Raw genomic sequence first — 25,879 nt, 5'->3', positions numbered from 1 at the left:
CCTGATCAACATGGCGAAACCCCGTCTCCACTAAAAATACAAAAATTAGCTGGGCATTGTGGTGGGCACCTGTAATCCCAACGACTTAGGAGGCTGAGGAAGGAGAATCGCTTGAACCCAGGAGGCGGAGGTTGTGGTGAGCCGAGATCACGCCATTGCACTCCAGCCTGGGCGACAGAGCAAGACCCTGTCTCAAAAAAAAAAAAAAAAAACACCTTAGTTGAGATATAATTTGCATACCGCAAAGTTCACCCATTTTAAGCATACAAATTCAATGATTTTGGGTAAATTTACCAAGTTGGGCGACCGTTACCGTAATCTAGTTTTAGAAGGTTTCCATCACCCCAGTAAGATTCCCTGTGCTTGTTCACAGCTCATCTCTGTTCCCAGCCCCTGGCAGCCACTAATCTACCGTCTACCTCTGCAGATTTGCCTCCCCAGGGCATCTCATAGAAGTGGAATCACACACCATGGGGTCTTTCATGCTTGGCTTCTTTCACTTAGCACCATGTTTTGAGGTTCATCCAGGTTGGGAGAACAAATAGGAGGTGAGAGGGAGCCCAGCAGATGCCCTCAGCATCTCAGAGGGGCCCCTCATCCAGCCTCCCTGTCCGTGTATGAATCTCCTCTCCACACCCCAGCCATCCAGCCTTGGCTTGTTCCCCTCTAGTGACAGTGGGCTGCCACCCATGTAGCAGCCCACTCCCTTCCCTCCTGTACCTCTCATGCCCTCATGCAGCTGAGGTGGGACCCACAGGGGCTTGGAACTCGGAGGATCTGTGTCCACACCCTGGTCCTGCCTTTTAGTAGCTGGGTGACCTTGGTTATATAATTTAACCTCTTTGAATCTTGTTGTTTTTGTTTTTTGAACTGTGAAATGAGAGGTAAAAATAATGGCAAGCCAGGCACGGTGGCTCACACCTGTAATCCCAGCACTTTGGGAGGCCAAGGCAGGTGGATCACATAAGGTCAGGAGCTCGAGACCAGCCTGGCCAACATGGTGAAAACCCATCTCTACTAAAAACACAAAAATCAGCCAGGTGTGGTGACAGATGCCTGTAATCCCAGCTACTAAGGAGGCTGAGAAAGGAGAATCGCTTGAACCCAGGAGGCAGAGGTTGCGGTGAGTCCAGATCTTGCCATTGCACTCCAGCCTGGGCAACAACAGCAAAACTCCGTCTCAAAAATAAATAAATAAATAAATAAATAAATAATTTAAAAATACCAATACCTTTCTTCCTCACAAGATGGGAGTTTGCATTTAGTATGTACTTAGCACATATGTATTCAGTAAAAATTCTCTCTCTTCCTTGACATCCACAATGCTTTCCAATTTTCCGAACCTCAAGCCCAAATCTGCAGCCTTGCCCTTTCACCCATGGGCCCTGCTCTGCCCCTCAGCTACTCAAGGGACCAGCCACAGGGGCCTGAAGGGTGTCAGAGGAGGATTTGGGACATTGATAGTGTAAAGTCTGCTGTTTAAATAGCACACAAAATGGACAAAGGAACAGATAGTCAACTCGTAGAAGAAAAATCATACAAGTTCCCAATATATGAAAATAGGCCAAAGCTTATAAGAAATTAGGGAATTTAAGTGAAATAACATTTTTCCCCACTTGACTGGCAAAAACTAAAACATTTTGATGATATCAAGGGTCAGCAAGGTGCACTATTGGTGGGTGGGGACGGAAGTCAGTGCCGCCTTTTAGGGAGGCATTTGACAGCATCTGTCACAATTTAAAATGGGCAAAGTCTGTGGTTTAGTAGTTCCCGTTCTCAGTATTTACCTCAGGAAGGTGCCTTTGTAAGGAAATATACAGGTTGTTTTCTGCAGAGTTATTTGTAAAAGTAAAACACAGGAAACAATCAAAAGGCCCACTGATGACAAGTAACTCATGGTACATCCATGCTGTCAGATGTTACTCTGCTGGAAGAAAGAACACATTGACTAAGTGAAGGAAAAAAGGCACGTTGAAAAAATAAAGGTACAAAAGAACAATTTGTACAGTATAATCCACTCTATATATTTTTTAAAACTATATGTATTTAAGGCCAGTTGCGGTAGCTCACACCTGTAATCCCAGCACTTTGGGAGGCTGAGGCGGGTGGATCACTTGAGGCCAGGAGATTGAGACCATCCTGGCCAACGTGGTGAAACCCCGTCTCTACTAAAAATACAAAAATTAGCCAGGCATGACGGCGGACGCCTGTAATCCCAGCTACTTGAGAGGCTGAGGCAGGAGAATCGCTTGAACCCAGAAGGCGGAGGTTGCAGTGAGCCAAGATTGCGCCACTGCACTCCAGCCTGGGCGACAGAGCGAGACTGTGTGTGACAGAGCGAGACTCTGTGTCAAAACAAACAAACAAACGAACAAACCCTATATGTATATATAAAAATTACATAGGCATGGAAAGAGAAAGTTACTAAATTATCAGTGGTGATTAATTCTGTGAAGGAGCAAAGATGTCAGGGAGCACTCTAATCCTATATTTAAATGTCTTACAATGAAAATATATTCAGCTATTTCTTGTGAAATTAAAAGTTTTAAAAATAAATAGTAAAAGACTCATTACCAGGCATGAAAATTGTCTACTTCTTAAAAATTTGAATGTGGGACATGAAATTTTATAATAAAATGATTTCAATAATGTTTAAAGTGCTTACAAAGACTAGACGATGGCCGGACATGGTGGCTCAGGCCTGTAATCCCAGCACTTTGGGAGGCCAAGGTGGGCGGATTGCTTGAGGCCAGGAGTTTGAGACCAGCCTGGCCAACATGATAAAACCCTCTCTCTACTAAAGATACAAAAATTAGCCAGGCATGGTGGCACATGCCTGTAGTCCCAGCTACTCGGGAGGCTAAGAACGAGAATCCCTTGAACCCAGGAGGCGGAAGTTGCAGTAAGCTGAGAATGCACCACTGCACTCCGGCCTGGGTGACAGAGCAAGACTCTGTCTCAAAAAAAAAAAAAAAAAAAAAAAAAAAATACTTGAGGAAAAATACATTACATCGAAATACAAATGGTGGTATTCTCTGGGAGGTGGGGCTTCCAGTTGAATTTTTCGCTCCTTGTATTTTTCTGCGTGTCTCATGCAGAAAAATGTTCCGTGTTGAACACATGTCACATGTGTGTTTTCCAGGCCCACTTTGTAGCCCCATCACCCTTGGCCTGCTGGTGGCTGGCGTCCTGGTTCTGCTGGTTTCCCTGGGAGTGGCCATCCACCTGTGCTGTGAGTTGTCTCCTCTTGGGTTGTTGGGTGTCCCTGTTTGCTGTTTGAAGTGTCCCTGGGATATTTTCTTCTCTAGGGGAGCAGAGCAGATGGCAGCCTGGTGGGAATTTGCCTCAGAGAACCTACGGTATTTCCAGAGGTAGTTCTTGGCCTGGGGCTACGCAGCCAAAACCAAAGACTACCCTGTCCCTGGAGTCAGGCAAACCTGGGTTTGAGTGCAACGTGGCTGTTTCCTGATCCAGTGCCCCGGTCTCTCTGAGCCTCGGCTGCCTCAGATGGGGGTAGGACATTAGCTACCTCCCAGAGTTGCTGTTTGTAAATTCCTACCCCAAATGCCTGGCACCCGGCACGTGTCAGTGAGTGGGAACTCACGTGAGCAGTTGAGACCAAAGCCCAGTGTCCAGAAAAGTTTGCCTATGGGGTTTGTGTTGTGTTCCTAGAAGCTAGAAATCCTCTCCACGACACCGATATTGATGAGGCTGTGGGAAACAGAAATGACTGCTGCTCCCAGCCACCCCAGAGACGGGACTGTCTCCTTCTATGGCCCCCACCCCAAGCTCTGCACAGCACTGGGTTCACAAGAAAGACGGGGAGCCAGAGGGGAGGCCTGCATGGCTGCCCTAGAGCCCAGAGCCCAGACTCTACCCCGGTTCTTCTGCTCACCTGTGCCACCTCGAGCAAGCCCCTTCCCCTCTCTGCGCATCTATGAAATGGGCAGGTGGGACAGCAAGGGCATGAACTAGATCAGTGGCTCTTAACTTTTGTAGGTCACAGACCCCTTTGAACATACGATGAAAATAACGGACCTCTCCCCACAGAAATGCACCCAGGAGCATACTTTTGCCTACAATTGTTCCCCACAGAGGGGCCCATGTACCCCATTCTAAGAAACCCATAAATTTCAGTGGTTTGCAAACTCTCTCGATCAAGGAAGGAACTCATTGGTAAAATATTTTGAAACACATTTAATAACATGCATAAAATATTAAATAAGCGAATACAGCTAATTGAATATTATAAAGTAAATGCAGCAGTTGGCTGTATTTACTTATTTAATATTTTATGTATGTTATTAAATGTGCTTCAAAATGAAAAGTAAGTTGGGTGTAGTGGCAAGTGCCCGTACTCGAGAGGCTGAGGAGGGAGGATCACTTGAGCCCAGGAGTTCAAGTCTAGCCTAGACAACATAATAAGACCCCATTCCTAAAAAAATAAATGAAAATCAAAAGTAATAAAGGCTGAAATACAAATGTCAATAGACATGCTTTTATTTTCTTCCTAACTCCCAGTGGGAAATCTCGCTCACCCTCTGAATGCAATTGCCCTAGCCTGAGACTGCCTGTCTCTGGGACCTTTCATGTCTGACCTGCTGTGAAGGGCAAGCAGGTGTGTTTAAGGACACAGACTCTGCAGCTGACTAATTGAGTTTGAATTCTGGCTTTCCCACTTACTAGCTGCATGACTTTGGGCATGTTATCCAGTAATTCACTCACTCTGTGTCTCAGTTTCCCACATATAAAATGGAGATCTTAAAAGTAGTATCCAACTCAGGTTTTCAGTGAGCATTAAGGGGATTAAAATGTGTAAAGTGTTTGGGCCAGGGTCTGGGACCAGGGAGGTGGGCTGAGGTGTCAGCTGCCCCTGTGACAATCCTCCTTGGCCTCTGGGGCTCAGCGCAGTGACCCACAGCCCACACTGACTGGCGCCCTTGCTTTCCTCTTCCAGGCCGGCGGAGGAGAGCCCGGCTTCGTTTCATGAAACAGTAAGTGTATAACCTGGGTGTGGCCTTGGGTTCCTCAGCCCCTGCTGCAGCTTGCAGCCTCTAACTGCAGCGAGGAGCCAAAGTCAGACCTCATCTTCCAAAGATCATAGACTCGGCCGGGCATAGTAGTGCACACCTGTAGTCACAGCTACTCGGGAGGCTGAAGCAGGAGGATCACTTGAGCCCAGGAGTTCAAGGCTGCAGTGAGCTATGATGGTACCACTGCACTCCAGCCTGGGCAACAGAGTGAGACTCCATCTAAAAAAAAAAATTACAGACTGTATAAATAGATGGGGTGATAGAGTTCAGGAACCTAAGAGATAACCTAAACAAACAAAAACCTGACCAGTAAGTTAAATGTATTTCAAGAACATTCTTAGCTCTCCTGAGGAGAGCAATCAGGCTTTGCATGCACAGAATACCGCAGAGTATCCCAAACTCATCCCATCCGTTATTTCATCCCACCTATTATTTCATCCCCTTGGTACTGTGTGAGATAAGGGGTTATCACCCTCATTTGACAGATCAGTGGAGAGACTACTGGAATCGGATTTGAAGACCAGCCTCTTCTACCAGCCATTGCTTTCCTTCCCTAGGAGCTGCCTTTGTCCCACCTGCTGCCCTCGACCCCATCTGGGTCCCAGGAGTTGACAGAGTCACATAGCACTCTTGGGGCCCACTAAGCTGAGAAAGAGCCTGTACTTACCCTGGGCTGGGCTGGGACCTTTAGTGGTGGCCATTTAGTCACCACCTTTGCAAGTTGCTTTGCCCTGGTAGGGCAGTGACATTAGGTCCTGGGTCTTTCATGAGGCTGTTGGAAGCCATCCTGGGCCAGGGCAGCATTCCTGCATTTGATTTTTGTTCCTCACAACAGAGACTGTTTCACATCTGCCTATCCAGTTAATTACATTTGATCCTTAGAACAACCCCCTCTATACAGAAATGTTTGGGGGAGCAAAAGTACACAACTCTAAATTGAAGAGGGCAACAGGTTCTCCTGCTCAAAAGCTCCAGCTTTAGGTGGAGACAGGGCTGGGTTTGAATCCCGTCTGCCAATCACCATGTGACAGCCAGCAAGTCACTTCACGTCTCCAAGTCTCGGATTTCTCGTCTGTTAAATGAGCTAACAGTGCCAATCTCACAGTCAGTGTGAGGACTCACTGGGGTATTATCCTTAAAGCATGTGGCCCCAGGACCCCGGAGTCAGAGCACAAGCTCAAGTCACTTCAGTAAATTCCACTCTGCAAGTGCAGCAATGGACAAACAAAATGTATTTTTGAATACTCTAAAATTGTAAATAGCCATATAAATTCATATTACTATATGCTCTGCATTGTTGTACACATTATATTTATATCGAGAGTGGCTTAAACATGCCTGCTGGATTTTATGGGCAATTTTCAATGATATTTTAATTGTGTACAATTTTCACCTTGTGTGTTGGATTTAGAAGCTGCCCCCTACCCAAGAGATAATAACTTGAGTGTAGCTGTCTCAGGCCAGACCTCTAGAAAGTTCCATTCAAGGCCGGGTGCAGTGGCTCAAGCCTGTAATCCCAGCACTTTGGGAGGCCCAAGGCAGGTAGATCGCCTGAGGTCAGGAGTTTGAGACCAGCCTGGCCAACATGGTGAAACCCCATCTCTACTAAAAATACAAAAAATTAACTGGACGTGGTGGCAGGCGCCTATGTAATCCCAGCTACTCGAGAGGCTGAGGTAAGAGAATCACTTGAACCCCGGAGGCAGAGGTTGCAATGAGCAGAGATCACACCATTCCGCTGCAGCCTGGGCAACAAGAGTGAAACTCTGTCTCAAAAAAAAAAAGAAAGTTCCTTTCAAAATGTCTCCCATGATGACCTTTCATGGAAAGTAAGTCCCTCTCTGGTACTAACTGTGGTCTGGGTCTGTCCCCACCCCTTCATTTTAACTTGCTCCCCAGTGATCTGATGCCAGTTTTGGGGAGGCTGGATGCAGGACCTCATGCTTTTGCAAGCCCAGGATCAGCTTGAGGCAGGGAAGGGGCTCTGGGTGGTCGTGGGGGGACCCTGAGACCTCCTCACTCTCTTCATTTTGAACAGACGTACTCTCTTCTATTGTCTGGGTTTACACTTACCTGTAACATGTCATTTGAACAAAAGGGTTTGTGGCTTCAAAAAAGCTTGAAAACCACCTCTGGTTTTGCTCTCATGATCCAGGCATGGAGGAAATAGCCTGTGGTGCTCACAGATCTGAGTTGCGATTTGAGGTAGTTGTTCCCCAGCCTCTAACTGTCCTTAGAAAATCATCCCATCTGCAGGCTAATTTCTTCTGGCCCCTTGATATAAATTTGTGATTCTCTTAGATTATCTTAGAGGTACTACAGGAAGTAACCCAATTCAAAGCTACCGTTCTTTGAGCTGCAGTTTTGTTTTGTTTTGTTTTTTAGCCTTAACAATCTTTTTAATGACTAAGATGGGCCCTAGAAACATACTAACAAAAAACTCTCGGCCCCAGGCTACTTGGAGTAGAACTCTGCATTCTCATTTGCCATTTGTCTCTGTTACAGGAAATTCAATATCGTTTGCCTGAAAATAAGTGGTTTCACAACTTGCTGTTGTTTTCAGATTTTACAAATGAGCAGAGAATACGGTTTTGGTGTCCTGCTACAAAAAGACATCGGTCAGTAACGAGCACGATGTGGAAAAATGAGAGAAGGGACACATTCAACCCTGGAGAGTTCAATGGCTGCTGAAGCTGCCTGCTTTTCACTGCTGCAAGGCCTTTCTGTGTGTGATGTGCATGGGAGCAACTTGTTCGTGGGTCATCGGGAATACTAGGGAGAAGGTTTCATTGCCCCCAGGGCACTTCACAGAGTGTGCTGGAGGACTGAGTAAGAAATGCTGCCCATGCCACCGCTTCCGGCTCCTGTGCTTTCCCTGAACTGGGACCTTTAGTGGTGGCCATTTAGCCACCATCTTTGCAGGTTGCTTTGCCCTGGTAGGGCAGTAACATTGGGTCCTGGGTCTTTCATGGGGTGATGCTGGGCTGGCTCCCTCTTGGTCTTCCCAGGCTGGGGCTGACCTTCCTCGCAGAGAGGCCAGGTGCAGGTTGGGAATGAGGCTTGCTGAGAGGGGCTGTCCAGTTCCCAGAAGGCATATCAGTCTCTGAGGGCTTCCTTTGGGGCCGGGAACTTGCGGGTTTGAGGATAGGAGTTCACTTCATCTTCTCAGCTCCCATTTCTACTCTTAAGTTTCTCAGCTCCCATTTCTACTCTCCCATGGCTTAATGCTTCTTTCATTTTCTGTTTGTTTTATACAAATGTCTTAGTTGTACAAATAAAGTCCCAGGTTAAAGATAACAAACGGCTCCTGTGACATAAACGTGCGAAAGCCCATCTACAGCAAAGACATCAGTGCTCCGTGGAACAGAAACCAGAAGGAGAAAATTTGTACATCCTCCTTTTGCACCTGAGATCCTCATTTGCCCGACGTTGTAGGTGTGGAGAGTCCTAGAGAGGCTAGGAAGCGCCCAGGGCACCCAGAGCCAGGCTGCAGGTGCCTCAGGCCCCTCTCCCAGCCCACTCCCAAGCTGAACTAGCACGTGTTCATTTCTACCGCGGGTTGAACCGCAGGGATCCCTGGCTTCAAGTCAGGCACCAAACAGAAGGTAGGAGGCATGAGGGGTTCTGTCACATGTCTCTTCATTTTCTTATTGATTCTTAGCCTTGACAGTTGGAGAAGGAAAAAGCAAGGAGAAAGTGCTGAGCAGGAGTGGAGAGTGAAGAGCAGGACCTCGTGCCTGGGTTTGAAAAAGTGCCTGAGACCCATCTTAGCCGCCCCTACCTGAGCTTTAGCAGCCTAGGAGCTATTGCACCATAAAACACTGCAACCTGAGGCTGCATTAACAGAAGCACCACGTCCAGGTCCAGGGAGAATCCAGCCTCACCTGCTTTTCCTGGCCAGCTCAAAGAAGGACATTGACAAATCAGGTTATGTTCAGTTACCTGTGACAACCACAGAATGTAAGAAATGTTACAAAAAAAACAGGAAAGGAAAGACGACTCTGGGGAAGGGGCAGTGTGACCTTCTCCTGGCATCTGGGGTGCGGCCGCAGCAGAATGAGGTGTGGTGGGTGGAGTTAGAAAGGCATAGATGCAGTGTTACCGGAAGGAGGGCCTTGAGTGTAAGTTGTCCAGGTCCTTGGCATTTTGAACAAAGAACTGAACAAAACATACAAAGTAATAAAGGAATAAAAGCAGCAAAAGGAAGAATTTATTGAAGTGAGAAAGCACTCCACATGGTAGGAGTGGACCCTAAGCAGATAGCCCATGGGCCCAATTGCAAAGTTTTCTGGGTTTTAAGTACCCCTTTTGAGGTACCTGTTGGCTACCCCTTATCTGGGTGAAGGATTTGGTCCATGGCTAATGAAAGGCTGAGGTGAATTGACGCCCTATGCGGATGAAGGGATGGCCCGTGCTTGGTCTGTGGTCAATCCAGGGCCGTCTCCCTTTCCATCTGAGATGCAGTGGAAGGGGGAGGGTTGTAGGGAGAGTAGCCTTTGATCCTTGGTTACTCAGTGTGGGGAGATGGGGTTTTTCCTTTTGGTGTATGTTAATTGGCCTTAGATGCCCTGCCCCCAGACCCAGGTGTTTTCCGTTTGCTCCAGCTTTGAGAAGTCAGCACAAATTGGCCTCAGATTCCCTGCCCCCAGACGTAGGTGTTTCTCCTTCATTCAGCACGAATTGGCCTTAGATGCCCTGCCCCCAGACCCAGGTGTTTTCCATTTGATCCAGCTTTGAGAAGTCAGCACAAATTGGCCTCAGATTCCCTGCCCCCGGACATAGATGTTTCTCCTTGATTCAGCACGAATTGGCCTTAGATTCCCTGCCCCCAGACCCTAGACTCCTGCCTCAGCAAGAGGTGTTCAAAAGAAACAAAAGCTCTGCCCATCAGCTCTGAGGACAAGGGACAGGCTGCCTTCCAAGGCTGAGGGGAGGGGTGAAAGAATTGGGGTCAGCTGGACCAGACTCCTCTAGGGTTCGTGTTTCAGGTGGGCCCCTCACCCGGCCCATCACAAACAAATAAGAGATTAAGGCCTGCAGTGCACATGGTCTGCCCTCCTTGAAGGCTCACACCCAGTGCACAGCGGAAGTAAGAACAGGCCACAAGGCCTCTTGTCCCACTGCAGGCTTTGAAATTTGACCGTCTCCCTGCTGCTGTCTTTGCAATTGCATGTACTTGTTCACAAGTTCTCATGGGGTTGGGCTGGGGGCAGGGGTGGTTTGCGCTCCTCTGTCAGTTTTCTGTGCAGCAGGCACCTGCCGAGGCGGGCTCAGCTCCGGCTGCCCAGGGAGCTGGAGCAGGCTGGGCTGCCAATGGTGGGGGCTGCGGTGAGAAGGTCTGCACCCAGCACCTGACCTTTGTTTGAAGAAGGAGCTGAGCTGCTACTACACTCTATAGGGCCATTATGATGAAATATGCCCCCCAAACTCCATCCAGCTATCTTTTGACTAGCAATTCCACTTGTTGGCATTTATCTGAAAGAAATACATCAAAAAGTGGCATGCACAAAGAAATACGCATCAGATTGTTCCTTCTAGTGTTGCTTACTAGCTAAAAATGGGAAATAATCCAAATGTCCATCAAAAGGGACTGGTCAGATAAATTCAGACACAGTCTAATAAGGGGGTTTAGGCGGCTGCTAAGGAATGAGCTAGATCCATATATGCTGATATCAAATGATGGTTATGACAAATGCATATATTTTTAAAACATCTGTATAGATTATTCTTAATACAATATATGGCACAATATGTAGTCACTGTTAAAATTCAAGCACAAAAGAAAACAAGCAAAACAAATATATGTTGTTAGAAGTTAGGATACAGTTACCCTTGGTCCAGTGGTGGTCATTAGGAGGGAGCATGAGGTTTGAAGGTGAGCATTTCTGCTTCTCAATCTGGGAATCACTTATATGAGTGTGTTTCATTAGTAAAAGTCATCAAGCTGTACACTCAGATATGTTGACTTTAGAGCTATGGATATAGATGTAAATTATACTTCAAGAAAGAGACTTTTTAAAATCCAAGTACAGAACATTGTAGAAATGTGTAAAATTGGTATTTGGAAGTTTCTTCAGCAAGCACATGGGATTACAGCTCACGCCTGTAATCCCAGTACTTTGGGAGGCCCACACAGAATGATCACTTGAGCTCAGGAGTTTGAGAGCAGCCTAGGCAACATAGCAAGACCTCGACTCTACAAAAAATTTTTAAATTTTTTTCTGGGCATGGTGGTGCTTGCCTGTAGTCCCAGCTATTAGGGAGGATGAGGTGGGAGGATCTCCTGACCCCAGGAGTTTCAGACTGCAGTGAGCTGTGATCACGCCACTGCACTCCAGCCTGGGCAACACAGACAGACCTTGTCTCAAAAATAAATTTTTTCTAAAAAGTTTCTTGTTTTTTTTTCTTCCCATATTTTTTAAAACATAAAATTGAAATCTTGAGAATATAATACATAAAATAGAGAATATAGAAAATTACATCTTCTAATATTGTTCTGCAGATTTGATCTTTTTTCTCTAATAATAAATCAAGGCCTCCGGGTATATTTGTTTGTATATGTACAGGAAAAGGTCTGTAAGGATTTACTTTCAGCTGTTAATTGCAGTTACTCTGCGGAATTTCCACTTCTGCTTTGTACAGTTCCTTGTGTGAATTTTTACATCATGTATTACTTTTGTAGTTGGGGAAAAAGCAATTAAAAGTTTGGAAAAAAAGAACCTCTGGCCATTGTTATAATAAGAAATTGGAATCAATAAAAATATCCACAAACGAAAGATTTATTCATAAATTAAAAAAATCTGAACCATGGAAATCACGGTGAGGCAGGTCCGAGGTGGCCAGACAGCACAGCCTGGGTCTTTACCAGCTGTAGACTTTGGGCGAGCTACATTTGCAATTGCATTTACTTGTCTGGAAGTTCACATGGGGCTGGGCTCGTGGCAGGGGTGGGCTGCACTCCAGCAACCTTAGGTGAGCCTGGGTTCTCTGCCCTGAAGGAGAACATCTATAGTACTTCCTTTTCTGTGTTTTTCTGTGGACCTTAATGGGTCTGGGAGCAGCACTGGTGTTCCCCCCTCCCCCCGCCCCCTTCCTTTCAGTGGGAAGTAGCCTGCAGGTGTGGAGCCCACCCCGGCCTGTTCAAAAGAAGAAGGGGGGTCCTACACCACCCCCTCCCTTTCATCCTTACTCATCCCCACCCCCGCCCCGCAGCTTGTGTCTCTACCTGTAGGAAGTGGGCAACTTGTTTTCAGAAAGTGATCCCCGACCCCGCGTGGGCTGCAAAGCTGATCCGAATCTACCACCCAGTCAAAGGGAAAGACAGAAAGAGCCCTGTCTTCAGAGGCCTTCCAAAAGATATTTCCTCTGTCGCTTCTTGGGAAACCTCCTTCGATGCGTCACTGACACTCCCGGGGAACTGTGAGTCACTGGTTCCTGGAGTCCTCCCAGTTACATAACTCAAACAGAAGGAAACCATATTCCCCAGCCCTGCGTCGGTTTGAGATTCACAGAAATATGCACGACACGTGTGATTCCTGTAAAGCTGAAAGCAGAGGCGCTGAAAAAGACACTTACAACCTCCACAGTACTGTTGGCTCTCCTGGATCCTGCTTTTCCCATTAGTTTACTGCCTTTCACAAGCGAGTACCCTTTTAAGAGCTTTGCTTAGACTTCTAAATTTGAAAGGAAACCATGTCCATTCTTCTACATAATTTTGTTGTTGTTTGAGACAGGGTGTTGCTCTGTCACCCAGGGTGGAGTGTAGTGGCGCACTTATAGCTCACTGCAGGCTCTGTCTCCCAGGCTCAAGCGATCCTTGCACCTCAGCCTCCTGAGTTTCTGGGACTATGGGCATGCACTACCACACCTGGCTAATTTTTTATATTTCTGGTAGAGATGGGGTTTCCCCATGTCACCCAGGCTGGTCTTGAACTCCTGGGCTCAAGCAATCCATCCATCTCGGCCTCCCAAAGTCCTGGGATTACAGGAATGAGCCACAGCACCTGGCCTTTTCATGCATTTTTAATTGTAGACCATTTCCACTCCTGTCCCCATTTATGACTGAACTAATACCCACAACTCTGCACTCAATTCTCCTCTTCCTTGGGGGTGTGCGTGTGTGTGTACAGTGCTCTGTTGCCCAGGCTAGTGTGCAGTGGCGCCATCATGGCTCACTGCAGCCTTGACCTCCCTGACTCAAGCAAGTAGCTGGGACTACAGGTGCGCACCAGCATGCCCAGCTAATTTTTTTTTATTTTTGGTAGAGATGAGGTCTCGCTATGTTGCCCAGGCTGGTCTCAAACTCCTGAGCTCAAGCGATCCTCCCACCTTAGCCTCTCAAAGTGTTGGGATTACAGGCATGAGCCACCATGCCCAATCCCTTAAGTTTCTTGATGCTGGTTCAAATATATCTATTTGGGGAAACTTCTGTGTGCCCAGCCAGCCCTGTGCTGGGACTAGGGGTGCGGCATGGCCAGGATGGACATAGTTGGGCCCCCAGGGCTCGCAGTCTTGCTTACAGCCTCTAGGCCTCAGTTCCCTCCCTAGTAGCCCAGGGCCGAGGCCTGTGGGGGTCCTCTGGCTCTTTCCTGCCACCTGTACAAATCACTCCTAAGCCTGAGGCCAGAACTGAAATGAATGAATGAACAAAGCAAAAGGCTCAGATAGAAAGTCCTTAGGCCCCCACAAGCTGGGAGCACAGCCCTCCCTCTCCACTGCCCCTCCCAGCACCTCCCCTGCTGGCTCCCCCACCCATCCACCCACCCACCTTTCTGTGCTCCTCAAGGCTGTGAGGACCACTCGGGATGTTTACTCTGCCAAGTACAATGGACAATCCCCTTAGAGAACCAAGTTCAACAACTCAGATCTCAATCAGGCATGTGTTTCAGACACTAAAGATTTGGCTCAGAAGATGTCCCTAACCCCACGGGCTTTCATTCTCATGACCGGGGGGACACAGGCTCAAGGCTGGCACTTGCGTGGCTCCAAGAGTGAGTGGCCTCAGTGCCTCACTGGCTGCAGCCTCATGCCAGCCCCGGACAGACCAGAGAAAGACCCGGGTGATACCAACACAAGCAGAGGGCATGGATTGCCTTCTCAAAAAAGTTATGTTTGGCTGGGAGTGTTGTTCACAGCCTCTTACAGATTTTGTGGAGGTCTCTGCGGTTGGGTGAGGGCAAAGTTACGAGGGGAAGATGTGAGGTGGTGTTGGTGGAGGGGTGGAGGCTCCTCTTCCCCACACACCCCTCCCCAGCACCCCTTCAGCATCCTGCAAGCCTGAAGCTGCCTGCTGGGCTAGGCCTGCTGTCTGGGCAAGACCAGACCAGGCAAAAGGGAGGCCATGACTCCCACCCCTCCACCCTTACCTCAGCCTCAGCCAAGTTTGGGGGACATAGGGAGGGGAGAGCAACAGTAAACGTGATCAGCACAAAAGGCGGGCCTGCCTTCGGATCACGAAGGCTCTAGCTGGGCCAGGGCAGAAGATGGAGTTTGGGTCGTCCCTGCCTCTATCCGAGTACCTACCCTGCAGCCACACTGATGCTTCTGGTTTGGAAACAGGGAGGTAGGGTGGCTTCCACAAGACAAGCAGGCTTTGGTTGAAGTCCTTTTGTGGGCCCTGCTCAAAGCCCAGCTCCCTAGAAACTCAGAAAGCCATGTTGGGTGGTCTATCTTGTGGTGTAGGGGATGAAGGAGGAGAGAAGAAAGGCTCACAGTGGCTCAGACCAGAGCCAGTGCTCACTCTGGCAGTTCCATCTTCCTCCATCAGAAAGTCCGCCAGCCCCACCCAGCACAGAAAGGAGCTTATCAGTGGGAGAGGGAGTAATACTGTCGGCCTTTTATCTGTGTAATTTCAGAGTGCGCCTGTGCGTGCTTCTGTGTGTGGCAGGCGATTTGGTGGGGCGGGTGCAGGGGAACGCTTGTCTTTTTTTTTTTTTTTTTTTTTTTTTGAGACAGAGTTTTGCTCTGTTGCCCAGGCTGGAGTGCAGTGGCACGATCTTGGCTCACTGCAACCTCCGCCTCCCGGGTTCAAGCGATTCTCCTGCCTCAGCCTCCCAAGTAGCTGGGATTCCAGGTGCGCGCCATCATGCCCAGCTAATTTTTGTATTTTTTAGTAGAGACGGGGTTTCACCATGTTGGTCAGGCTGGTCTCGAACTCCTGACCTCATGATCCTCCTGCCTTGGCCTCCCAAAGTGCTGAGATTTCAGGCGTGAGCCACTGTGCCCGGCCTGGAACGTCTGTCTTATAAATTTTTCCTAGTCATTGTGACATACAGGGCTGTTCAATGGACAGCTATCCCACGTTTGAGCCTGGTCAGACGCTCCTGATGGTAACTCCAAACCTCCCCACCCTCTCCCCCACACTGCTTTTAATATCCAAGCTCAGTTAAGACTTTTGTGTGTGTGTGTGTGTGTGTAAGAGAAGAAAGCTGATTCACACGTTCTCATTTCTTCTGCCATGACCTCTACACCAAAATCTTTTTCATAGCATGAGTTATGACCCTGGCATGGTTAAGCATACATTTTCCAGAAAAATAATAATCTGTCATTTGCATACAAATGTCACTGAGTAAAAATGTAAAACAGTGATGCTGCTCACTGCTGGAAAGCTTGTGGCCAAGGGCACACAGGTGTTGCTGATGCTGGAATAAGCGAGCGCTACAGCTTTGTGGAAAACAGGTGGGCACCATCTAGTAGTGTTTAATATGAATTAGGGACTGTCACTCAGCACTCCTGGGAATGGGTCCCCGGGAAAGTAGAAGCATCATTGCATCAGAATAAATATACAAAGATGATTCTATCCATATTGTTTGGGCAAAATAAAAATGGGAAACAACCCCAAGATAATCAATAGGGAATCATTTAATAAGTTGCTGTCTATCTATACCCAAAAATATCGTGTAGCCATCAAAAGAATGACTTAAAAAGAATGATTTGGCCGGGCACGGTGGCTCACCCCTGTAACCCCAGCACTTTGGGAGGCTGAGGTGGGCGGATCACGAGGTCAGGAGTTTGAGACCAGCCTGGTCAAGATGGTGAAACCCCATCTCTATTAAAAATACAAAATTTAGCCAGGCATGGTGGTGGATGCCTATAGTCCCGGCTACTAGGAAGGCTGAGGCAAGAGGGTCACTTTAGTCCAGAAGTTTGAGGTTACAGCAAGCCACTGCACTCCAGCCAGGGCAACAGAGCAAGGCTCTGTCCCCACTGCCCCCCAAGAAAAGGAAGGAAGGAAGGAAGGAAGGGAGGGAGGGAGGGAGGGAAAAAGAGGGAGAAATGGGCGGAGGGGAAAGGGTGAGAGAGAAAGGGAGGGAGAGAGAGGGGAGGGGAGGAGAGCGGACGGGAGGGGAGGAGAGCGGAGGGGAGGGGAGGAGAGCGGAGGGGAGGGGAGGAGAGGAGAGGAGAGGGCCGGGTGCGGTGCCTCACACCTGTAATTTCAGTACTTCGGGAGGCCAAGGTGGGCCATCACCTGAGGTCAGGAGCTTGAGACCAGCCTGGCCAACATGGCAAAATTCTGTCTCTACTAAAAATACAAAAATTAGCCGGGCATGTAATCCCAGCTACTCGGGAGGCTGAGGCAGAGAATCACTTGAACCTAGGAGGCAGAGGTTGCAGTGAGCCAAGATCACACCACTGCACTCCAGCCTGGGCAACAGAGTGAGACTCCATCTCAAAAAAAAAAAAAAAAAGACAGATTAACTTGGCAACACTGCCAGAGTGTACTATTAAGGAGGAAAAGCAGGATGCAGGGAATTATTTAAACTATCCTTTTTTGTAACACAGGAAAGCATCTTCATGTCTGTAGCTGTGTTCCTGTGCCTATGACCCTGTGAGGAGGCTGCAGCAAGAGGAAGGGTGGAGGGGAAAGAGGGAGAGAGAGAAGAGGAGAGGAGAGAAGAGGGGAGGGGAGGGGAGGGGAGGAGAGGGGAGGGGAGGAGAGGGGAGGAGAGGAGAGGAGAGGAGAGGAGACCAGTGCTGACCATGAGTGTCAAAACAAAAACTTTCCCCTGGAAAAGGGATAAATTTCATTTAAATAACAAGAGATCAAAACAAAAGTATTCCTCTTTTTATTTTTATTAACCTGTCTGTTAAAATTCAATTTTATAATACATTGAAAAGCTCCTAAGAATCAATGTTTTTATTTATCCTTGCATTGTCTAATTCCCAAAAAGGATTTGGGGCAGCTTACAAAGCTCAACCCACACAGGGAGCAGTAAATTGGGGGGCAAACCAACAACAGAAGGGAGGGTGGGGGCAGGAAAAGTGGGTATCATAGTGGCTCACAACCTGAAGTGTCGGCATTTATTCCCCACTCGAGCAGGTTATTTGGTGCTGCATAAAAACCTCATGTGACCGTGCCCTTCCTCTTATTTGATATGATATCTCTTTTTTTTTTTTTAATTTTTTGAGATCGAGTCTCACTCTGTCACCCAGGCTGGAGTACAGTGGCATGATCTTGGCTCACTGAAGCCTCTGCCTCCCGGGTTCATGCGATTCTCCCGCCTCAGCCTCTTGAGTAGCTGGGATTACAGGCACACACCACCATGCCTGGCTAATTTTGTATTTTTAGTAGAGACGAGGTTTCACCATGTTGGCCAGGCTGGTCTTGAACTCCTAACCTCAGGTGATCCACCCTCCTCAGCCTCCCAAAGTGCTGGGATTACAGGCGTGAGCCACTGCACCTATCCTTCTCTTACTATTTTTAGTTTTATAATCACTCAAGGTAATTTATTTTCTCCTCTGATATTTGCCTAAAATTACAATTCACCACCCCAGATAGAGTGTGCTGCTCTGGCTGTGGCTGCGTGGTGTGAACACTCAAGCTCGTCAGATGAGACAGCACAATTAAGACCCTTTCCCACTCACTGATACCTTCCTTACAGCAGTGGCATTTGTTATTACAATGGCCAATTCCTACAGTTAAAAAGATGGCATTGTAAGCACAGGCACAATGAAGTTACTGACTTCCTGATCATTCTTTTCACTGTTTTGTTTCATTTTGTTTTTTTTCCTAAAAGTTTGAGAATAATACTTCTCTCACTCCCCCAGCCCCTAGTCTTTAATTTCTTATCAGAAAATTAGGCTGACTCCTCAGTCTGGGAGTCTCTGAGGCTGATCTTCAGTTTCTACTTTGACCACCCGTGTCTCCCTGGGGCAGGGGAGCTTCAGTGATCCCACAGCTTCATTACTGGTTAGCGGTGTTCTGGCTTCTGGGTTTCTGCTGCCTCATCAGAGGTCTCATTTTCCCCATCTGTGGGTCCCAGCAGAGGGAAAAATTGCAGAGATAGAGGAAAGCAACTCACCTATTCTTTTAGAATCAGAAGGAAAACATTTTCTTTCTCAAAGGCAAAAGAAGTTTCTCTCTCCTCATGGGATTATCAGCTGCTAGATATTTACTGATCAATTTTAAATTGCTGATTTCAATCACTGAAGTGATGCATGAATAGACTCCATTTGAACATGTGGATTACATGACAAATGTAGCAGTCACATACATGGGGAAAGAATAGATTATAGAAGCCAGGCATGGTGGCTCATGCCTGTAATCCTAGCATTTCGGGAGGTCGAGGCAGGCAGATAACCTGAGGTCAGGAGTTCAAGACCAGCCTGGCCAATATGGTGAAACCCGTTTCTACAAAAACACAAAAATTAGCCGGGCATGATGGCAGGTGCCTATAATCCCAGCGATTGGAAGTCTGAGGCAGGAGAATCTCTTGAACCCAAGAGGTGGAGGTTGCAGTGAGCCAAGATCGCACCACTGCACTCCAGCCTGGACAACACAGCAAGACTCCGTCTCAAAAACAAACAAACAAAAATAATAGATTATAATAAAGAGTGCCGAGACAATTGGTTAAATATTTGGAAAAAATGGAGTTTTAGCCCTTCATATCTGACACCAAAAGAAATTCTAAATGATTTAAATAAATAACGTTTCTTAAAAGGACAGAAACCAGAAATTTAGTAATTTAATTAATAACAAAATCTAATAAAATTAAATGCAAACTGGTTTCTAATATAAATTGGAATTATTAAAATAATAAACAAAAGGAATGCATTTTTAAATGGATTTTACCAGATTGTACCATAATATAGCATTTCAGATAGATAAGAGTGCTGATAAACGGGCCCATTCATAATCCACTGCTGGGAGTCCAGGCTGGTCCCACCATTCTGAGGGGCAATTTGGCAATACATATCTAGAGCCTCAAATTTGTGTATTTTTTTTTGAACCAGCAATTTCACTTCTATGAATATATCACGAAAATATTCATGATATTATTGGTTATGCACAATAATAATAATAATTTTTTTTTTTTGGAGACAGAGTCTCACTCTGTCCCCTAGGCTGGAGTGCAGTGGCACGATCTTGGCTCACTGCAACTTCTGCCTGCCAGGTTCAAGCAATTCTCATGCCTCAGCCTCCCAAGTAGCTGGGATTACAGGCATATGCTACCACACCTGGCTAAATTTTGTATTTTTAGTAGAGATAGGGTTTCGCCACGTTGGCTAGGCTGGTCTCGAACTGCTGGCCTCAACTGACTCGCCAAAGTGCTGTGATTACAGGTGTGAGCCACCATGCCTGGCCCCACAAGAATTATTAGTGGCAAAGACATGCATCAGAGTATTGTAAGCATATTGAAAACATGCTAAAAACTGGCTGGGACCTGTGGCTCATGCCTGTAATCCCAGCACTTTAGGAGGCTGAGGTGGGAGGATCACTTGAGCCCAGGAGGCTGAGGCTGCAGTGTGCCAGGATCGTACCACTGCACTCCAGCCTAGGTGACAGAGCGAGACCTTGTCTCAAAAAAAAGAAAAACATGCTAAAAACTACATATCTACCAGTGAAATAAATGAGAATACATCCATGCAAGGTAATAAATGACATTAAAATAATGCTGTGCAAGAATGTTTAATAAGTGGAAAGATGTTCACAATGCATTATTAAATTTAAAAAGCAGATTATCAAACGTTAGATATTCTATGAACCCAGCTCTCGGCAGAAGAGGAGAGAAATTATCTGTGTGTAAGAAACATGTGTTAAATGTCATGGGGGAATGACAGCCGGTGGTGTGGAGGTAAAAGATTTACCGAAACAGTTGCAGGTAAAAGAAGGCAGAAGATTTATTAGAAAATACATTGCCAGAGGGACAATAGGCAGGCAGCAGAGAGAAACTGACTGCAAGGAGACAAAGGCTTGCTGGTGATTTTACAGGGTAGCGTTTATGCTATCTGTTGAAGAGGGCTTTGTGTAGTATTAATAACGCCAAGGTTGCAGTGAGCTAACTTGCACGTGTCTGGTGAGAGTTACTTGCTCAGGAGGGCTGTGTGTCCTGGACCATAAAGAAAGGCAGACTTGTTGCTTATCTGCTTTCTCTTTTTATTTTCCCTTGCTCCCACCCGCCTGACTCCCCCCAGCCTGACTCCTTTTTCCCTAATTAGGAATCCACAGTAAACAAAATATTCAGAAAGATCATATGCCAGCCAGGCGCGGTGGCTCACGCCTGTAATTCCAGCACTTTGAGAGGCTGAGACAGGCAGATCACGAGGTCAGGAGATCAAGACCATCCTTGCCAATGTGGTGAAACCCTGTCTCTACTAAAATGCAAAAAATTAGCCGGGCATGGTGGCATGCACCTGTAGTCCCAGCTACTCAGGAGGCTGAGGCTAAGGCGGGGGAAATCGCTTAAACCCAGGAGGCGGAGGTTGCAGTGAGCTAAGATCACACCACTGCACTCCAGCCTGGGCAACAGAGCAAGACTCCGTCTCAAAAAAAAAAAAAAAAAAAAAAGTAAAGAGCATATGCCAAAATGGTAACTCCAAATGTGACAGGGGTTGGTGTGGGGCAGATTACAAGTGATCTTTATCGTCTTGTTTATGCATGTGCAGTACTTCCATCTGAGTATTACACTGACAGCCAGGCAAAACAACAATGCAATCTCCATTTTGAAAAAAAAAAAGAGTGTGTATGTATATATGGAGAAGATATAATGACAAGAAACAAATTACTGTTTTTAAAAAGTGATGAAGAGTTATTAGAACAACTAGAGTAGGACCCCATTTTTAAGAGAGTAAAGGAATCCAGAAGATAATAAAGTAGAGGTTGCTGGTTGCATCTTTGGAGGTAGGCCCATATGAATACTTTATTTTCCTCTTCTCTTTGCTTTTCTGTGTTTCTTAGATTTTTCCTTAAAAAGGCACATGATTTTGATAATAAGAAAATTATGTATTTTAGGCTGTACCTATTTAAAACCTACTTGCACAGAACTTCACACTTAACACATTGGCTGTGAATATCATAGGCTGGCCATCTCTAGCTGCTCCCAGGGTTTCACTTCTCAGTGGCCAGAGCCACTCAAAGGGCCCCTTAACTTCAGAAGAGAGATTGTCAACAGCATCTCCTAGAGCTGGAAAACCTCCTCTGAAGGGGAAACAAATCATCATCATCAAATAACAAAAATTTTTAAAAATTAAAATTTTCCAAAATATAAATGAGATTATCTACTTTATATATCTACATTAAAAACTTCTCTGTGGGTCCAGACACGCACACACACACACACACACACACACACACACAATTCCAGTTATTTGTAGAGAAATTTTGCCCACATTTGATCTCACTAAAAGTTTAAAGTGACCAGATGATCCATATTTTTACATGTTGTTTATTGACATTCGCCCCCACTTGCCAGCCACCATCTTCATTTATTAAGCATTTGTTATTAAGCGTTTGGTACTGTTCCATTTACCTGCATTATGTCAATTAACCGCTTATGCAAGTACGTACTCTTGCCATTTTATAAGCAGGTCGCTAAGCCTAAACTCAGTCAAGTCACCAGGCAGGAAAGCAACACTATAAGGATAGGACTTTACTCAAATAGTGTAGACCACCCACTGATACCTGGTGAGATGTCCTTGCCCCATCCCCCAGCACATGGGAACAAGAGCCAAGGCAGTTCAACTTCAGGTCCTGCACAAGTTTTCCTAGTCTCATCTACAAAGCCCCAGAGTTCATGATCACTGCATATAAGCTATGAGTTCTTCCTCTACTTTTGTTGTGGGTGAAACAGCAGCAAACTGCAATTAAAATTCAAAAATCTTTGCAACTAGCAAAATCTGATCCATTAGTCCAGAGCTGTAGATCTCTATGTTGCAAAAACAATTTAAAGTCTACATTATTCAGCTTCCAAAATAAAACGTGAACACCCTTTACAGCAACCCTGCCCCATATTTGTCTACCCCACATTTTTTTTTTTTTTTTTGAGATAGGGTCTTGCTCTGTGACCCAGGCTGGAGTGCAGTGGTGCCCTCTCGGCTCACTGCAATCTCTGCCTCCTGGGCTCCAGTGATCTTCCCACTTAGCTCGTGAGTAGCTGGGACCACAGGCACATGCCACCATGCCTGGCTAATTTTTTTAACTTTTGTGGAGATGGGGTTTCACCATGTTGGCCAGGCTGGTCTCAATCTGGGCTCAAGCAATCCACCCACCTCAGTCTACCAATGTGTTGGGATTACAGGCATTAGCCACCACACCAGGCCCCCAGCCCACATTTAACTACCTCTCGTGACATAAAACCCGAACTCTCAGGGCAAGCCAATTCATGTTTAACTCTACCAGAAGGTTTTTTTTTTTTTAACTCAAAAGAAGTCCTTGCAAGCTTCCAAGAATCACTCATAAACAAGTCTACTCAGTGGCTTACACTTGAGCACAGTCTTAGCTGATGAACCAAGATGAACTCTTTGCTGCCACAAAATCCACAGTCAGCCAGGCACAGTGGCTCATGCCTGTAATCCTCACACTCTGGGAGGCCGAGGCGAGTGGATCACCTGAGGTCAGGAGTTGGAGACCAGCCTGGCCAACATGGTGAAACCCTCTCTCTACTAAAAATACAAAAATTGCTGGGTGTGGTGGCAGGTGCCTATAATTCCAGCTACTCAGGAGACTGAAGCAGGAGAATCGCTTGAACCCGAGAGGCAGAGGTTGCAGTGAGCCGAGATCATGCCACTGCACTCCAGCCTGGGTGACAGAGTGAGACCCCGTCTCAAAAAAAAAAAAAAACAAGAAATTCACAGTCATGTCTACATGTGTGAACCACAGCCAATTCCAGTGCCCACTGTAATTCCACCCCTTTCGATCCTGCTAAGGAAGCCTCCCACAGTGTACTTGGGCGAGAGCGACACTGTCGTCTACAGGAATAACCTTGAACCTGTTCTACTTCTTAAAAATGAAGTGAACATTTTTAGTAGCCACGCTTCACACCCAGCAGCGGCACAGTAAGGTATCTATACAGGCAGGATTAAGATGGTCGTTAGGGTTCTTTCCAAGTGACAGGGCTCAGGTGATGCACCCAAGTCCATGGCCACCCTTCCTGGGTCACCGCCTCTCCCATAGGTCTTTTGTTCTCCTGGCCCCAAACCTCCACTGCTTTCTACATTGTCAGAATCGATTGGTGGTTCCTGTTTCCTTCTCACTTACCGACCTGCACATGTCACAGATTCTCAGCATATTCCATTTGCAAGAAAGCCACTGTTTTAGAGTGGCTCTCTGTTTTGTTTTGATTGTTGAGAGGAGCTCGTGGGCATTATTGCTGCATCACCCGCCACACAACTGGGGAGGTGTCACCGGCTAAACAAAAGGCAGGGGTGACGGCTCCTCACCCCTGTGGCCCAGATGGACTCCTCTGACAACCGGGGCAGAGCTAGGAAGACAATACAGACTCTCATGTTGCCTGCACAGAGCTCCCCACAAGACCACACTTCCTCCCGGGCTTTGAAGGGTACATCAATATAAGACAAATGATACGTTCTAAAAAACCGCCTGCAAACACGGGCACCTGAGCCTGCTTGGTCTGCAAATGTTTCAAGGCTCAGGGAGGCTGTCATGGATGTTTTCCCCCCGAGAGCTCCAGTGGCGGAGGTCTGCACATTCAGGTAGGAGCTCCTGTTCATGTCCGAATGGCACCCCTGTCTCCTCCTGGTGCTCTTTGGGGCAGCTGACACCATGTTGAGCATGCAGCCTGTTACAGTCAGGTAGGACAATAAAGAGTGGAGTGGCGGGCAGGAGGTGAGGCATGGGCAGTGGCCCTTTCTGAGGGGCTCCCATGCCCCCCTTAGAGCCTGCTGTTCAGACTTGGAGGTGGCAGCGAAGAACGGGTCCCAACACTTATCTTTGCTCATGTTGCCGCTGCATGCAGTTTCTGTTGGCTTCTTCGGAGAGGTGTCTAGTGCAGTTATCACCCATAGGAGCCTGAGCTGGCTGGAGCTCTGGGACATTCACCTGGCTCAGTCTTTTCCCACCTGAGAGGTGCCTGGGTGCTGCCTGCCAGGGCAGCCGTTGTCTGATTCCATCGTGATCACAGCAACCGCAAGCCAGCCACAAGCCTCTGTCTTTGTGTGCCTGGGGTTTACTGCGACCCTTGGGGATTCAAATGGGGTCAGATTGAAATGAGCAAAGAATCCTCTGAAGCCTGGACTCTTTCCCAAGGAAGTCAAAGGGAATGGCCAAGGAGGGGTTGGGGGATCCTGGAGGACGGTGATCCTCACCCTCCACTCCCACAGCCCCCATAGCCCCCCAGTAGGGGGGAGTCAGACAGAGCTGCCGCCATCCCTGGGACCACCTGCACACCTGCCCCTTTTATGTGGGGACGTTATGTAGGGCGGCCCCTCTCCAACCCCAGCAGCACACCCCCCACACCGACACCCAAGCTGCGTGGGACAGAACCAACAAGTTCACTTACCAAGGCAGATGCACCCATCACCCCTGCTCTTTTCCCAGCCTCCTCATGTGCCAGAGCTGCCTTAGGAGCTGTGGAGGAAACTCCAGGGCCCATATAAATTGCTTAGAGCTTTGGAACCCACGCAAGAGATCCATCCTCAGGAAATACTAATCTGTGCCATCATCATTATTTATTGGCATTAGTTATGTGTTCTAGAAATAACAATAGAACAACCTAAGTGGTTGACTATAAAGAGGAGTTTCAATAAGCTGTGGTCATTTACTTGGTATACAAGTATTCAAACCTTAAAAACGGTGGTTCTAAAGATTCTGGAAGCGATTCAGGGAAGGTTTATGCAATGAAGTAAAGGAAAAGCAGGATGTAGCACTGTGTTTATAGTAAGCAAGGTCGAGACAAGGCCTTGGGACAGAAGCACAAGAAAGCATCCCTGAGTGTGCTCTGGAGGGACTAGAACCTTCTTTCCACCTCTGATGGTGAGCTCTCCTCCCCTTCCCTCCACCACAAGGCCTCCCTCTCTCTTCCCTGACCCAGGGCACTGATGAAAAGCCCCCTCCCCACAGGACCCCAGGAAGGGAATGGGTTGCAGGTTTGTGCAGGGGGAGGCTTTTTCTCTTTTCATCTGCTCATTCATTCAATCACAGATTTACTCTTCATTCCCTTAGCTGCTCTTTGGCCTGGAGCACGTGGCTTCTTGCCCTTTGGCCTCCTAAAAATTAGAGGTAACAATTGCTTTCCTGTTGCATGTCCAGCACAACAGACATTGCACACACAGCCACCCAGCCCTGCACAAAGATGCAGAACAAAATGGGGGTTTCGGGCTGATTTGGCCACTTCCAGCTGTGTGCAAAGCAGCATTGATCTGAGCCTCAGCCTTGCTATCTGAGAAATGAAGCACCTCACAGTACCTGGCCCAGAAGGTCACATAGGTAAAAGTGTGGCAGAGGTTGTGCCCTGCATGAAGCATTGGCACTTGTTCCTCAGTGTTGACTGCAATCAGCCACAGCCCAGGGCCTCCTTCCCTGCTCTCAGGCCAGGCAGGGAGAAGAGGGTCCCTGCTCCAGCTCCCTGCTGCATCTAGAATGCACTCCAGCTCTCCCCAGTGCTGAGGCC

General features: G+C 47.3%; 1 protein-coding gene across 6 annotated transcripts in view, besides 1 other annotated feature; it reads left to right on the top strand.

The window, feature by feature from the left end:
• CD8B (CD8 subunit beta) overlaps positions 1 to 25,879 on the top strand; it is a 46,518-nt gene that overhangs the window by 11,971 nt on the left and 8,668 nt on the right. For 2 of the 6 annotated variants that reach the window (NM_172213.5, NM_172101.5), the window contains exons 4-5: positions 3,143 to 3,232; positions 4,958 to 4,994. The exons of 1 other annotated variant lie outside the window; for it this stretch is intronic. In NM_172213.5, coding sequence (NP_757362.1) covers positions 3,143 to 3,232; positions 4,958 to 4,994 — 127 coding nt within the window. Of the gene's footprint in view, positions 1 to 3,142; positions 3,233 to 4,957; positions 4,995 to 7,538; positions 11,750 to 25,879 lie in introns of those variants that run through there. 3 more of the 6 variants (NM_004931.5, XM_011533164.3, NM_172102.5) reach the window with 3 other exon arrangements.
• Positions 9,698 to 10,254: an enhancer, noted in NCBI's record as "H3K4me1 hESC enhancer chr2:87066785-87067341 (GRCh37/hg19 assembly coordinates)". NCBI's record gives its function as "activates a minimal SCP1, AML or CMV promoter by ChIP-STARR-seq in primed H9 embryonic stem cells {active_cell/tissue: H9 hESC(primed)}" and the evidence as "EXISTENCE:reporter gene assay evidence [ECO:0000049][PMID:30033119]".

The sequence above is a fragment of the Homo sapiens genome, chromosome 2 (genome assembly GCF_000001405.40).
Source record: "Homo sapiens chromosome 2, GRCh38.p14 Primary Assembly".
Taxonomy (NCBI): domain Eukaryota; kingdom Metazoa; phylum Chordata; class Mammalia; order Primates; family Hominidae; genus Homo; species Homo sapiens.
Note: the sequence above shows the minus strand (reverse complement) of the source record. Positions and strands in the feature narration are given on the sequence as shown.